Source organism: Homo sapiens, chromosome 1, assembly GCF_000001405.40.
Source record: "Homo sapiens chromosome 1, GRCh38.p14 Primary Assembly".
In the NCBI taxonomy this organism is placed as follows: domain Eukaryota; kingdom Metazoa; phylum Chordata; class Mammalia; order Primates; family Hominidae; genus Homo; species Homo sapiens.
This window is the reverse complement of record NC_000001.11, coordinates 7,705,663-7,721,702: the sequence shown is the minus strand read 5'-3', so window position 1 is coordinate 7,721,702 and position 16,040 is coordinate 7,705,663. Positions and strand designations below refer to the sequence as shown.

At 43.7% G+C, this 16,040-nt stretch overlaps 1 protein-coding gene across 43 annotated transcripts in view; it reads right to left on the bottom strand.

The window, feature by feature from the left end:
* CAMTA1 (calmodulin binding transcription activator 1) overlaps positions 1-16,040 on the bottom strand; it is a 984,253-nt gene that overhangs the window by 48,004 nt on the left and 920,209 nt on the right. The window contains exon 1 of one of the 43 annotated variants that reach the window (XM_024454331.2): positions 7,277-11,095. The exons of 40 other annotated variants lie outside the window; for them this stretch is intronic. Coding sequence is in view for 2 of the 3 variants with exons in the window: in XM_011541091.3 (XP_011539393.1) it covers positions 7,517-7,539 (23 nt within the window). In the remaining variant the exon portion in view is untranslated. Of the gene's footprint in view, positions 1-7,223; positions 11,096-12,793; positions 15,512-16,040 lie in introns of those variants that run through there. 2 more of the 43 variants (XM_011541091.3, XM_011541092.4) reach the window with 2 other exon arrangements.

Below are 16,040 nucleotides of genomic sequence, written 5' to 3'. Positions count from 1 at the left end.
CCTGAACATACAAAATAAAATGTAAACTCTTTGTTGTGACACAGAATGGACTGTTCTTTACCAACCATCCCAGGCTACGTTTCTAGGGTTCTCTCATAACTCAATGTTCTCCAAAATTCCTGGCTCACGACCAGGAATTTTACTTACCTCTGGGCCTCTGCCGAGGCCAACCTTTCTCCTCATCCACCTGGTGAACTTCTTAACTCTTCAGAGTGTGGCTCAGACATCACTCCAATATTATTAATAATAATAATAGCAGCTACTGGACATCTACAGTAAGCCAGACATTTTACATGGATTATGTCTAATCCTCAAAATGACTCTGAAATAAAGATTTTCCCCTTCATTTTCGGATGAGGAAGCTGATGCTAAGAAAATTTGTTACTTACCCAAGAGCATACCACTTGTAAGTATCAGGGCAGAGATTTGAACACAGACTGGACTCCAGACCAGTGTTCTTTCTGCTATGCCTGGTAAACCTTCCACATTTTGCCCTGGGTCCTAACAGTACTGAGCCAATGAAGGGATAGTTCTTTTCCTAGGTGTCATTCCTGCTAGAGGCTAGAATGTGAGCTTTTTGAAAGCAGGGACCTTGTCTTGTATCCCTAGCACCATTCAGAAAGTGAGTGCATGTGGAAAGGATTATTTTCTAATTTAAGCTCCTGGGAGCCTATTTATTGATGAGGTCATCCAAACTCTGGGGCAAGAACCCTGAGCAGCCTCCGCTCCCCAGGTGCAGTCCAGGTGGCTCATATACCAGTGAGCAGCTTTATCACCTGTCCAGGGGCAAGAGAGGATGGTCAAAGTGATCCAAGGCCAGCAGAGCTGACTTGGAAAGCAAGTGTCTGCCCGGCTGGCTGCCATCTGCTTTAAGCTCAGGGAAGGAAACCACGCAGCTACAGTGAAGACTCTGGAAGCAAGGCTGGGTATGAGGTGACTTCTTCACAGGCACACACTGGAACTTCCCAGCAGTGTCACTTTTCTATAGCCACTGAGTTTCTCATGAAAAATACCAAACCCTAACTTTGGCCTGGTGGCTCACGCCTGTAATCCCAGCACTTTAGGAGGCTGAGGCAGGCAGATCACTTGAGGTCAGGAGTTTGAGACCAGCCTGGCCAATGTGGTGAACCCCGTCTCTACTAAAAATACAAAATTTAGCCAGGCATGGTGGTAGGTGCCTGTAGTCCTAGCCACTCAGGAGGCTGAGGCAGGAGAATTGCTTGAACCTGGGAGAGGGAGGTTGCAATGAGCCGAGATTGCACCACTGCACTCCAGCCTGGGCGACAAAGTGAGACTCTGCCTCAAAAACAAAACAAACAAACAAACAAAAAAAACCACCCAACCCCTAACTTTGAGATGTTCCCCCTTTTCAAGAGAAAAATGGACTATTTGGAATACAAATGACTGGCAGCGCCCCTCAATGAAAGGAGTGGCTTTCGTTAGTTACCAAGGTGTTTAACAAGTCAGCCAGGTTCAACTGTTGTATAAACATGAGGTTTCGATCGGGTTAAACAAAAGGAACACTTTCTAGAACAGCCCCAGAAAGCGTCCATGAATATGAATGCCTGCACATCAGCTAATGAATAATATCGGCAAACGTGAGAACTTGTTATTACAACTGCTGAGCTGAGCCATCTCAGGTCTTGTTGCCAGAGGAGAAGAAAAAGTTTTGCCTTGGCAGGTAAGTGAATGAAGAAGCAATCGTCAAATACCATCTGCTATTTTAAAACACGTTATTTGTAGCTCAAGTGCACATGTGCTCTCCCACTGCCATCCATCTCTCATTCCACTTACAGCCCTTGGCTGCCCTGGCAGGGAGAGCTGAGGAGGCAAAGGAGGCATGCCTGCAACTATTTCTGTAGAGCACTGTGAGCGCTGCTTAGGAAGTCTCCTAAATTTTTTAGGAAGCTCAGAAGGACAGGGAAAATGAAGTCACTTAATTCCCTCCCAGAATAAATGGTGCCACGAGAGTATATTAAGCTGCTCCTCCCTGGCAAGCCGTTTAAGATGTCCAAGTGCAGAGGGAAGGGTAAGGGCCGGGTGGAGATGAGGCACAAGCTGTACCACTCTGATTTTCCAAAGCAATGGCTAAATTTAGCCGTAGAAAAAACCGCCATACTCCACTTTTTGAAAACTCTCTGACTCTGTATACCAAAACACTAGAAATGGCAATGAGCAATGCTGCTTAGGACTTCTTCATTTGTCATAATTCTGCATCCATATTTCTTCTTCCTGATCTTTGTTTTACACTATCCCCATATTCAGTCTTGGACTTGTTCAGAAAAATCATTCAGGATACTGCCAAAACAACGGACCAACAGTGATTAGACAAAATGTTACAAGGGCAGCAAAGCAAACTGACAATCATCTCTCATTTGAAATCTTTCAATACTAGAGCTAGGGGTGTCTCAGGGTGAAAATCTCAAACCTATTCTCCAAGGAACATTCAGGCAGCCACATCACAACACAGTCTCAGGCACCGACGGCACCTCCACCACGCAGGAGCCAACTCTGCTGTCAGTGAAGTAACAAATCCAACTAAAGACAAAGGTAGTAAAACTGCAGCTAATTGGCATGAAGCACAAAAGAGATTTGGAACTCCCATACAGATTCTGCACCCACCTTTAAAGAGTCTACAAAAGAGGAGAACATCTTAAAGTCGGCTAACTTTGCAGAAAGCAACAAGTTTGGAGCACACTGCCTCAACAGTTTCAGTGCACAGTGAAAATCAGAAATATTATAAACAAGAATTGAGACATTCTAAAGTAAGACTAGTGAAATGAATGTAGAAGAACAGAGAAAGCGTATTACTCCTAAGACTAATGAGGTCTTTAAAAAAAAAAAAAAAAGGGCTGACCGGGCTCATGCCTGTAATCCCAGCACTTTGGGAGGCTGAGGCAGGGGGATCACCTGAAGTCACGAGTTCAAGATTAGCCTGAGAAACATGGGGAAACCAGTCTCTACTAAAAACACAAAAATTAGCTGGGCATGGTAGCATGTGCCCGTATTCTCAGCTACTCGGGAGGCTGAGGCAGGAGAATCGCCTGAACCTGGCGGGGCAGAAGTTGCAGCGAGCTGAGATGGCACCACTGCACTCCAGCCTGGGTGACAGAGCGAGACCCTGTCTCAAAAAAAAAAAAAAAAAAAAGTGCTGTAATGAGACCTGGAGATGAACAATGAATGATCTAACCTGGACATGAAGGCGTGATTTAAATGGGTTATATAAAGGAAAATGGAAAATGAAAATCCTAACACTTAAGAAGGGAAACTGCAAAGACAGAAACGACAAAGTGAGCAGGAATTGTCAGGAGGTATGGATACAATAATTAAGCACCAGCGGCTTGTTTGGTGGCGCCTAGCATGATCAAAACACCACTTGAAATCCTTGGGGAAGAACTATGGAGAATCCGGCCAGAACGGACTCATTCCACAAATGTTTACGGAACGCCCACTGTGTTTACGGAACACCCACTGTGTTTACGGAACGCCCACTGTGTTTACGGAACGCCCACTGCTGGCTAAGACTGCGCCAAGGCTCTAGGGAACTAAGGGTGAACAAGACAACTCAAGTTGTTAGCCACCGGGACTACAAAAACCCAACACGATATGAGCCTTTGTCACCAGAAACTCGGTCTCATATACATGAACGTAAAGAGAAATTGTGTTGGCTCAGTGAGGCCAGTGACTACGTTCATCCCAGTCACCGCTACATTCCTGAGGCCTAGCAGAAATTCCTGGTGCACAGTAGGCCCTCTGTAAATATTTATTGACGAAATGATTTAATTTCAACTATCGGAAATACACAACGTGAACTTCAAGAAGAACAAGGTACAGAATAACATGTAGAACAAATATTTGTTTCCATGAGTCATTTCTATGATGGGCTTTTTTTCAGCCAAGTTATTAAAAGCAGCTCCTTCATGGTCACCTTTTAGCTAATAAGAATATATCCGTTTTTATTTTTTTATTTTTTTTTAGACAGGGTCTCGCTTTGTTGCTCAGGCTGGAGTGCAGTGGTGCAAACATGACTCACCACAGCCTCTACCTCCTGCCTTAGCCTCCTAAGTAGCTGGGACCACAGGCATGCACCACCACGCCTGGCTAATTTTTTGTATTTTTGGTAGAGGTAGGGTTTCACTATGTTGCCCAGGCTAATCTCAAACTCCTGGGCTCAAGTGATCCTCTTGCCTCAGCCTCCCAAAGTGCTGAGATTACAGGTGTGAGCCACTACGCCTGGCCTCAAATTTTTTTGACATGGACATAAATTGTACGTATTTATTGCATACAACCTGATGTTTTGAAGTACATGAACGTTGTGGAAAGATTAAATCTAGCTAATTAACAAATGTACTACATAGTAATGCACTATGTACAAATGTACTTTGGAGTACATTTGTTCATTAAATAATGACACAGCTATCATTTTTGTGGTGAGGGCATTTAACATCTACCCTCTTAGCAATGTTCAGGAATATATCATGATGAACTCGAGTCACCAGGCTGTACAATAACCCCTTGAACTGATTCCTCCTGTCTAACTGTAAATACACATTCTCTGACAAACATCTCCCCGACGTCCCCATTCCCAGCCTCTGGTAATGACTATTCTATTGTCCACTGCCATGAGATCAACTTTTTAAGACTCTGCCTAGGAGTGAGATCATGTGGCATTTGTCTTTCTGTGCCTGGCTTACTTCACTTCACAGAATGCTGTCCATATTCAGCTCTGATGTTGGCAATGGCAGGATTTCATTCTGTTTTATGGCTGAATAGTACTCCACTGTAGACACAGACCACATTTTCCTTACACATTCATCCACAGATGGACACTCAGGGTGCTACCGTATCCTGGTTATTGTGAACAGTGTTGCAATAAACACAGGAGTGCAGATCTCTCTCTGACATCCTAATTTCATTTCCTTTGGCTACAGACGCAGTGGTGGGATTGCTGGATCCTCATTAGTTGTGCCAAGCTCATTCTCCATACATTATTTAGGACTGCTATTGGCAAGGCTTGGCTCTCAGAACTAACTCTAGGGGGACCATCTGCACAGACGGTGCTAACTGTCTTGCTAACTTGTGAGAGTTAAAGCCCAAGACGTTCCAAAAATATGTATTTTTCTGAATACTGGATTCTACATGAGAGACTTCTGTTCCAGAACTCACAAGTTTATTAATTATAATGTTTTTCATAGTGCTACAAAATCTGGAAAACATATAGGTAAATAAGTCCTTCCCAACTTAGTAGAATGAAATGTACATATTTTAAAATAAATAGCTGGATTCTGGATAAAATATCTGTCCAATATTTTATCTTTATTATTAGGGGCTAATAAAATAGGTCCTAATGGATAAAATGACTTAAGAATATTAGCTGGGCACAGTGTCTCATGCCTGTAATCCCAGCACTTTGAGGCTGAGGCAGGAGGATCACTTGAACTCAGGAGTTGGAGACCAGCCTGGGCCACATAGTAAGACCCTATCTCAACAAAACATAAAAAAATTAGCTGGGCACGGTGGCATGAGCCTGTAGTCCCAGCTACTCTGGAGGCTGAGATGGGGGGATCACGTGAGCCCAGAAGGTGGAGGCCACAGTGAGCTTCAATCATGCTGCTGCACTCCAGCCCGGGCAACAGAGTGAGACCCTGTTTCAAAAACAAAATAAAACAAAGCAAAACAATTTTATAATTCATCATAGACCCTTCTGATAAATAGATGATATTTTTAAAAAGTCAATATACCACATAAATATTTTATTCAGAAATAAACTATTTCCCCAAGGGAAGTACAGGGTTTCAGAAAATTTTTAGTCATTAAGCTTCTTCCGAGTAGTGTCAGGATGCTTGTGAGGATTCTTTCATGTCTCGGCTCCTTATGCCACATCAGAATACATCAAGGACTGCTCTCCCATGCCGGCACGGCACTCAGTTCCTCTGAGTATCCCTTGGCACCCTACCCCTAGACCAGAGTCATCCTCCGATTTTTGCAAATTTCAAATCAGTGAGGCCTGAACAAATGTATGAATTACTGAGGCCAGCATTAAAGCATCCCTTGGATTACGTAAAAAAGCAAAACACTTAAGGGTGCTTTCTGTGAAAGGGGGATGTGGCTGGCACAGTGGCTACACCTGTAATCCCAGCGCTTTGGGAGGCTGAGGTGGGAGGATCACTTGAGCCCAGGAGTTCAAGGCTGCAGTGAGCCATGACTGTGCCACTGCATTCCAGTCTGGCTCAGAGAGAGAGACCGTGCCTCAAGAAAAAAAAAAAAAAAGTGTGTGGCTATGGGATGCAGCTTGACTTCATCCAGTTTCAGGGGCTATGCAATCTGCAGATCCTTACAGAACCCCCCCAAGTGGTTGACGGAATGGTTAAATAATGGAACAAAACGTTAATAGCCAACTCCGGTGGCACTGTGCACTGTTTCTGAGGATCCTCTCTCTCGAATCCCTAATACCTCCAGATGCTCCTTAGTCTGTTCTCTGCTCTTCCCCCCTTTTCCTGATTTTCCTTCCCTGTCCCAGCCCATTCCCCCGGGCCTCTTTATTTCCCTTCCTGCTCTCACTTAACTGGTAACAATCCTGTGTGAGGTGGCTAACAAAAATACTTGTGATTAATAGCAGATCAGGCAAAATCAGGACTCATGATGTTACAGACAAGAATAAAAGAAAGCTCCAGGAAAACTGTTTCACAGAAAACACAGACTAAACCCTCCAAAATGGTGAAATGTGAGTCCCAAATGGGGCTGAACGTAGCAAACAAAGCAAAAGGGGGCAGTGAGTTTCAAGATCACACTACGTCAGTTGCTTTGGATAGTATGACTTTCCCTGGTACTAGGATCTGAAATAAATTTCTCCCATAGGTCCTAATAAGAAGGATGCTGTGGGCCAAACGTGGTGGCTCACACCTGTAATCCCAGCATTTTGGGAGGCCGAGGCGGGAAGATCACCTGAGGTCAGGAGTTTGAGACCAGCCTGACCAACATGGTGAAACTCCGTCTCTGCTAAAAATACAAAAATTAGCCAGGTGTGGTGACACGCACCTGGAGTCCCAGCTACTCGGGAGGCTGAGGCAAGAGAATCACCTGAACCCAGGAGACAGAGGCTTGCAGTGAGCTGAGATCGCGCCCAAAGCCAGAGCCTGGGTGACAAGGCAAGACTCTGTCTCCAAAAAAAAAAGGATGCTGTGATTTAATAGATTTCAACATCCTTGCGACAAAAGCACTACTAGGTTTCAAGTGACTGTTTATTACTGTTTGGTATTAAGGAACACCAAAGCACCATTTCATCGAAGCGATTCAGCAAAGGTCCAATGTGGTCCAACTTCACAGCTCTCGGATGCTCTGATGAATTGGCTTAAAGGTAGACCATTCAGAGGAATACATGCTGATTTCTAAATCTGAATGTAGATGAGTTGGATGTTCTAAATTTCTTGAAGGAAAAGCTTTCTATAGTTCATTGGTTTTAAGTTGCATATTACTAAATCACTCTCAACATTCTCTTCTGCAGGTCAGTGGGCCTTCACTTTTCAAGAAGTCTCTTTACTGCAATGAAATAACACATTAGTTTCTTCTGTTTTCAGAATTGAATGTACCTGGAGTTTGGCTAAAAGTCAGTGTCTTGCATAGATAATATCTTTCCACAATTCGTGGTGGAAAGAGAGTAGCTGCCAATTTTTAAATCTGTTCAACCATAAACACAATAATCAAGTGACTGCCCAGCCCCTGTTCATAACTTGGCCTCTTCAGTGTGGACCCCCGAGTGGCTGCGGTGCTCACCGGGCAATATCCCCTATGCTGATATGAAATATACAGATAAGAGAAATTTAAGAGAAACTGAAACTTCCCTTGTTAGAAAAGAGCCCTTAACAACAATTCTTGCGCTTTCTGTTCAGGGGCTCTTTGACAATTATAAAGGCTGTGAGTCCTCTCCTAGAAACATACGTACATATAAGATCTTGTATTCAATTTCAGGGGGCTCAAAGAACCATGCCACGGCCTCAGAACTATTTTGTGAGGATGGTCTATCTGCTGAAGCATTTCCTAGGTTGCATTCTGCAGAACATTTCCCACGAGCTATTGATCAGCAAACACAAAATGTTGTATCAAAGATGTTTTGGAAATACTAGGTGAAACACAAACACATTTACACCTCATTAAGGGAAGACTTTTCTGAACCCTAATATGCTAACAGATGCTATAAACTGATAATCGCCAATAGTAGGTGTGTTTCTTAAACTTATGTGAAACTTTTTGTGGGGTGGGGGCTGGGGGGCAGTTCTTACAGGCATTTCCTGAAACTAATTTTCCCACAGAAGAGTTTGGGAAGGAAACTAGCCCTAAGGATACCTTTTTGATATAGACAGTCTCCGAGTTAGGAAAGTCTTGGTCCATACTCTTCCTCCTCTTTCTCTCATCAGGCTCAGGTGCTACTCCATCCTAGCACAGACTCCAATAAAATTACGTGGATGAATGGTGCATGCCAACCAGAGATCAGTGTGGGAAATGGTTTGACCCAATGTCTCCCCACTATCATTGCCTCTCTCCCATCTCAGGAGACTCCCTCACTCACTCTGTGTGGTCAGTCAATTCCACTTCAGACAACCTTTGACAGACAGAATCACTTCTTTAATCCAACCTCTCCTGATATGGTTTGGCTGTGTTTCCACCCAAATCTCATCTTGAATGGTAGCTCCCATAATCCCCATGTGTCGTGGACAGGACCCAGTCGGAGGTAACTGAATCATGAGGGTGGATTTTTCTCCTGCTGTTCTCGTGATAGTGAATAAGACTCATGAGATCTGATGGTTTTATAAAGGGCAATTCCCCTGCACACGTCCTCTCGCCTGCTGCCATGTTAAGACGTGCCTTTGCTCCTCCTTCGCTTTCTGCCATGATTGTGAGGCCACCCCAGCTATGTGGAACTGAGTCCATTAAACCTCTTTTTCTCTACAAATTACCCAGTCTGGAGTATTTCCTCATAGCAGCATGAAAATGGACTATTTCCCTATCCTTGTTTTAATTATCTGAGCCACCTCAGAAAGATTTCTTTCACTCTCTTTGTTCCATTTGGGAATAAAAGTAAGATTGAGCTGGATGTGGTGGCTCTGGCATGTAATCCTAGCACTTGGGGAGGCGAGGCAGGTGGACTGCTTGAGCTCAGGAGTTCAAGACCAGCCTGGGCAACATATGAAACCCTGTCTCTACAAAAAATCCAAAAACTAGCCAGGCACAGTGATGCACACCTGTGGTCCCTGTTACTTGGGAGGCTCAGGTGGGAGGATCACTTGAGCCTGGGCAGTGGGAGTTGCAGTGAGCCGAGATTGCACCACTACACTTCGGCCTGGGCATCAGAGTCAGACCCTGTCTCAAAAAAAAAAAATAGTAATTATAATGAATAATGTTGGAGTTAGGTTATCAATAAATTTATATTACTTATTCTATGCAACTTTACTCTAAAACATTAGAGAACTAGACTGTATTTTCAGAGAACCATTTTGAGTTCTACCCTGTGAATTAAGAATCTTCACCAAAACTGTTTCCATTTACCAAAGTTATTTTATATATTTCCTTATTTAAGCAGCATCACTTAATATATAAATGCGAGGTTCACTCTTTCACTTGTTTTGCAATACATACTTGTATGTTATATATTGATAGATTTTATAGATTATGTAGTTCAATGTTTTATAATATGCATATATATGTGCACACACATTATTTTAATTATTTCTCTCCTGCAAATGCAGAGTATCTATAGTGGGTCCCAAAAGGTTTTTGTTCTCTGGCTAGCCTGGGAACCTACCTGCCATTTATTGCACTGTTTTTCTGGGAAATATTACTCAACTGACTTAAAAGCTTTCAGAATCATCAGTTTTAGGCTAAGTACTTCCTATTTTTTACATCATTAGATAAAACATCTTACACACGCGCGCCAGGGGCATTGGTTCTGGCTAGAGTGACATCGCTTCTTTCACTAGAAAAGAGGATATTTAAATAAATTCTTTGGTGATTAATCCAAACCACAGTGTATAATACTAAGGAATTGAACCATACTTTCTGGAAATGGTCCTAGAAATTGTTAGTCAATATCCATTTAAAGATTCACTAAAAGGTGATGGGCTCTGGTTCCTCTTTCTCATTTAAAATGGGACCATGAGAATAAAAGCAAGGAAGAAAGCCCTAGAGTGAGTTTCTGTAGCTTCAGGATGGTGTTTTCTTTAGGACTATGACAATCAAGTGTGAAGACCAAAACCTATTGGTTCCTTCACAGTTGGCCCCCCTAGCGTCCCTTCCTTCATCCCTGATCAGGGCACCTTACTTCTTCCTTGGGGAGTGCAATGGACTGAATGTTATGTCTTCCTAGAATTCCTATGTTGAAATCCCAACTCCCAACGTGATGGTATTAGGAAGTGGGACCTCTGGAAGGTGATTAGGTCTTGAGAGTACAGCCTTCATGAATGGGATTATATATGGGTGCCCTTATAAAAGGGACCCCAGAGAGCAACTTGCCCTCTTTCCACCTTGTAAGGATACAGCAAGAAGTTGGCAGTCTGCAACTCAGAAGTGACCCTCATCATGCTGGCACTGATCTTGGACTTTCAGCCTCCAGAACTGAGAAATAAATCTGTGTTGTTTACAGGACACCTGTCCATGGTACTTTGTTAGAGCAGCCTGAACTAAGGAACTGCACCCGGTTTAGGTGGCGCAGAGCCCAATTCTTGGCTCCAGGGGTGTATGAGCCAGGCCTTATGAATGAGAGGACCATGTCCCCTTATTCAAGAGATTAGACACGTGACTCAAGATGGGCCAATAAGAGATGAGACATTTCCTGGAACTACAGGGAAATAAGAGCTGTCTTCCTGGAGACATCTGGTAATTTGGCAGACGATAAGCCTGTAGCTCAGAGTGGGCCATCTTGCTGCTGCCATATTGGGGACCCTTCCCTGCTTGAGAATAAAATTAACATAGAGGAGGAGAGTGGGGTGGGGGCAATGGGGGAGGCCTAATGACATCATTGTACATCTAGAGCTAGTTCTAGCTGAAGATAACACTAATTCTGGACTTCCTAAGAGTCAATAAATTCTTTTTTTTTTTTTTTTTTTTTTGAGACAGGGTCTCGTTCTGTCACCCAGGCTGGAGTGCAGTGGTGTAATCGTGGCTCACCCGCAGCCTCAAACTCCTGGGCTCAAGCAATCCTCCTGCTTCAGCCTCCTGAGTAGCTGGGACTATAGGTGTGTGCCACTGTGTCCAGCTATTTGTTTTAAATTTTTTTTAAAGATGAGGTCTTGCTATGTTGCCTAGGCTAGTCTCAGACTCCTGGCTTCAAGAGATCCTCCTGCCTCGACCCCCCAACATGCTGGGATTACAGGTGTGAGCCAACACACGGCCAAGTTCCCTTTTTTATGTAAGCCAGTCTGAGGTGGAGTTTTGTCACTTGCAGCATTAGAATTTATCTACAAAACATGTGATAAATGACAGTAGCAATAAACTGTCTTGCTTATTCAAAACACTGATTCAATGTTGACTGCCAAAACATTCAGTAAGACAAGGAAAGGTATACTGAGCTCTGGCCTGGCTGGAGACTATCTGTTGAATTCATACATATGGAGGTATCTTAACTCTTTCAGGCCTTATGCGACTGCTAAATGTGGCGTCATAACAGACACATACCACAGAAAAGAATCACAGCAGAATAGCTGAATTGAAAGAGAATTAGGAAATATCCAGTCTAGTGGCTTTCAACTTTTTTAAACTGTGGTCCACAGAAAGAAATAGAAGCCAGCACACACACTCCCATATGGAAACCAAAAAGCTTCCCAAATCAATACTTACGCTTACTATGTGCAATGCACTCTGATTTTAAAATCTGATGATGGTGACCATGCTTTTCTGAACCACTAATGGGTTTGGAAAACAGGTAAGAGAGCCGGAGATACAAGGTAATTTACATAAGGTTTCTCACTGAGTGAATGGTAGAGCTGAAACACCCAGTGCCCATCCTGCTGTATTATATGAAAGAGAACAGCTGTTACCTACACACATCCCTAGACAGTGGGCTTCTGGCCAATATTCTCAGTCTGGGAAAATGATTCAGGTGTCAGGCCTATTTTACACTGGTACAGTGTCCAGGATTTTTAGGGCCACCTCAAGACCACCTAAGTGAAAACTCACATCCACCAGTTGGCTTTAGATTCACATCCACATAGATTGATTTTCGACCCTCTCACTCCTCCTTGAACTGACCTGCATGGGAAATCATTTGGAGTTTGTGCCTAAATGACCAACAAACAAGACTGAACCAAAGGCACGGAGTAGGATCACGTTTGTCTTGGGCTTGAAGAAACACATTTCATTACAGTCTCCTCACCCTATCTAATGAGTAGCATCACGCTGGATAACTTCTTTGCCAACTAACAGTATTCATGAAACTTCAAGTCCCAGATGGCATTATGCTAGGCATAGTAGAAGATACAGCTTAGGTGGGGCCCCTCTGCACCCCATAAACAGCTGTTAATCTAATCTGGGAGGGGAGAAAAAAAGCTTCATTAATAAGACTTGAGTGAGGCTCAAAGGAAAAAAGAGACAGAATTTAACATGGAGTATGGGTGACGGTAGGCACACCAGCACACCAGCACACCAGCCTGGCTGCGTGTGACAGAGGGCTCATGCTGTGTGGCTGAGGATGGGGTGTGGCCAGCTGGAGAGTGAAACATGATGTATGGGGTGGTGAAAGTCAGGTGAAACACGAAAGCTGAAAAAATGGAGAGAATGATTAATTTTTAGTAGTTGATAAATATTAGTTTAATATAATGGAGAAATTTATTTACATGACTTATCATCACCTTCCACATTACAAAAACATTATGTAGCTTTATGATCAGCACTTTAACTCCTAGAAACATTTACCCTCATTAAACTCCGTATACTTTACCTTCCTCAAAGTAATATTTAATTATTAGTTTTAATTTGCTAAGCAACTGATGTATAGTAGGTGCTTCAAAGATGAGCTGACCAGTCTCTCCACATCATGTCTAAAGCTATGCTCTATTTTCAATGTTTATAAGACAATATAAAATTAAGCAAATTACAGGGATCACGATACTTTATAAACTAAAATTCCAGTTAGTCTATCAAAGGAACTTTACTGAAATAAAGCATTACACAAGATCATACTGGCATTCTCCCCCTCCACTGTCTTTTTCTTTTTTTTGAATCAGGGTCTTGCTGTTGCCCAGGCTGCATAGCAGTGGCATGATCATGGCTCACTGCAGCCTTGAACTCCTGGGCTCAAGCAATCCTTCTGCCTTGGCCTCCCAAAGTGCAGAGATTAGAGGTGAAAGCCACCACGCCTGGCTATTCTTTGTTTTGTTTTGTTGAGATGGGGTCTCACTCTGTTGCTCAGGATGGAGTGCAATGGCACAATCACAGCTCACTGCAACCTCCACCTACCAGGCTCAGGCGATCCTCCCACCTCAGCCTCCTGAGTAGCTGGGACTGTAGGCATGCAACGCCACACCTGGCTAATTTTTGTATTTTTTGTAGAGACGGGGTTTCTCCATGTTGCCCAGGCTGGTCTTGAACTCCTAGGCTCAAGCAATCCACCTGCCTCAGCCTCCCAAAGTGCTAGAATTACAAGTGTCAGCCACCACACCTGGCCGTATTTTTAAACTTACTATTCACAAGGTATCATATCATGGTTTTAATGAGTCACTTGCTGTACTGCCTGTGGGGTGAAGAGTAACTATCTCCTGATGGCGACGGCATCTCCTTGTCTGCCTGTCATGTTAAGCCAAATGTAGTCACATAAGAGAATAGCAAAGAAAAGATGGTCATTTGACTTCAGGGCAATTCACTCAAGAAGAGGAGAAGACTCTAACTGAAGGTCTCCATGACTATGAACGCCAACATCCCCATGACATGATGTGACACTACCCATTGGTATCACCCAGCAGGCTAATAAGCACTTCTGAAATGTTAAATGTGAGTAATACTAACTTGTGGTTTTTAATGTAATTCAATACATCACATCTGGACTTCTCCCACCATCACGCCTGTGATCTCAGCACTTTGGGAGGCAAAGGCGGGTGGATCACTTGAGCTCAGGAGTTTGAGCCCAGCCTGGGCAACATGGAGAAACCTCATCTCTACAAAAAATACAACAAATTAGCCGGGCATGGTGGTGTGTACCTGTAGTCCCAGCTACCCAGGAGACTGAGGTGGGAGGATCACCTGAGCCCGGGAGGTGGAGGCTGCACTGAACCATGATCATGCCACTGCACTCCAGCCTGGGAGACAGAGTGAAACCTGTTTCAAAAAGAGCCTCACACCTTTCACTCGGGAAACTTTCATATCAACCAATGCTTTAACTTTGCTATCTTTCTCATATTAAGTAAATAATACTCAGTTCCACTTGTTATTCACGTACTGGATTCTAGAACAGCCCCACATGAATACACTGCAGCAGTGACAGCTCTTAGTAAAGGCCCAGTTCAGTCCTAAATAGAAGACTAAAGAAAAGCCTGGGCCAGGCACGGTGGCTCACGCCTGTAATCCCATCACTTTGGGAGGCTGAGGCAGGCAGATCACAAGGTCAGGAGTTCAAGACCAGCCTGGCCAACATAGTGAAACCCCATCTCCACCAAAATACAAAAATGAGCTGGGCATGGTGGCGCGCACCTGTAGTCCCAGCTACTCGGGAGACTGAGGCAGGAGAATCACTTGAACCCGGGAGGTGCAGGTTGTGGTGAGCCGGGATCATGCCACTGCACTCCAGCCTGGGCAACAGAGCGAGACTCCGTCTCAAAAAAAAAAAAAAAAAAGAATAGCCTGAAATAATGCATCCGCCAGGGTATCACCAAAGCCAAATCCTTAAATAATACAAACAAGACTGTTATTAACGAGTACATGAAATACTGTATTTCCATTTGAGTTGTTCAGATTATAATTAATCAGGACGACCTCATCAAGGTCTCTCAGGAATACACAGCAGTTCTCTGCTTCTTTTCACTACTAGGTTAAATTTATTTAGGAAATGCATACGCTGTAAGTAAATGCTATTTTCTTGGACATTAAACATTATTACTCTCTAAATCTAATACAAAGAAAAAGAGAAACAAATTTATTTGCTAGTGTCTAATTCTGGTCTTGGAATAATAACTATTTTTTTTCTAAACACACAGCAGGAAAAGTGCTTCTGCATAATGCATTTCTCTTGATCCGGTTCCCAGCAATAGTTTCTCGATAAGACACAGATTCTGCAGGGAAACGGAACACTTCAGTTCCTCAAGGTAGTAAGAGAAAAAGACTCCTTGTATGTAATAGCCAGACATTTTATCGATAAAACTTGGGAGCACAATTTTAAAAAGTCAGGGGTTGGCCTCACTGGTGGAAAAAATATAATGCATTCATTCAAGCAACCAAACACAGGAGGCATTTCTGTAGTTATCTGAGGGCACCTCTCACGTTTACTGAGTCCGCTTCCGGGATTAGATACTTCAGGCTGCCAGCAGAAATCCTATCAAGTAAAAGTGGGCAAAATAGAAAATGGACTTTAAAATTGTCGTCCTTCCCTGGTGAGGCAACTGATTAAGAAGACAGTCTGCAAGAATATCATCATTTCAGAAATCTATTCTGATACCTGATTTGTAGAGAAATGCTTTTGATGTCTGCAGTAATCTACAGAGATCGAAAAAGTCTCAAACACCAGAACGCCATCAGCGCCACCTCTAAAGAGGCGCAATACCTAGAAACCCAATCACCAGAGCTCCGAAAATGCAAAAGGGCCACCCCGAGCATCTATCCTGGCCCATCTGCGCGTGGAAAGTGCTCTCTGGTCGCCAGTCTGCAGGGAAGCAAAGCTCTCAGAAGTTCCTCCGAGCCTTCCATCCACTTTCAGGACTGCCCTGTGCACGCGGGTGAATCGAGCGTCCCTCCGCTCCCCTGGTCTGTAGTTAGAGACAGTCCCCCGTCGCCCGATCCCGCACCCGCTGAGGAGCGCAGGGCTGTGCCCGCACCTCGCCTCGCACCTGTCTGCCCAGGGAAAC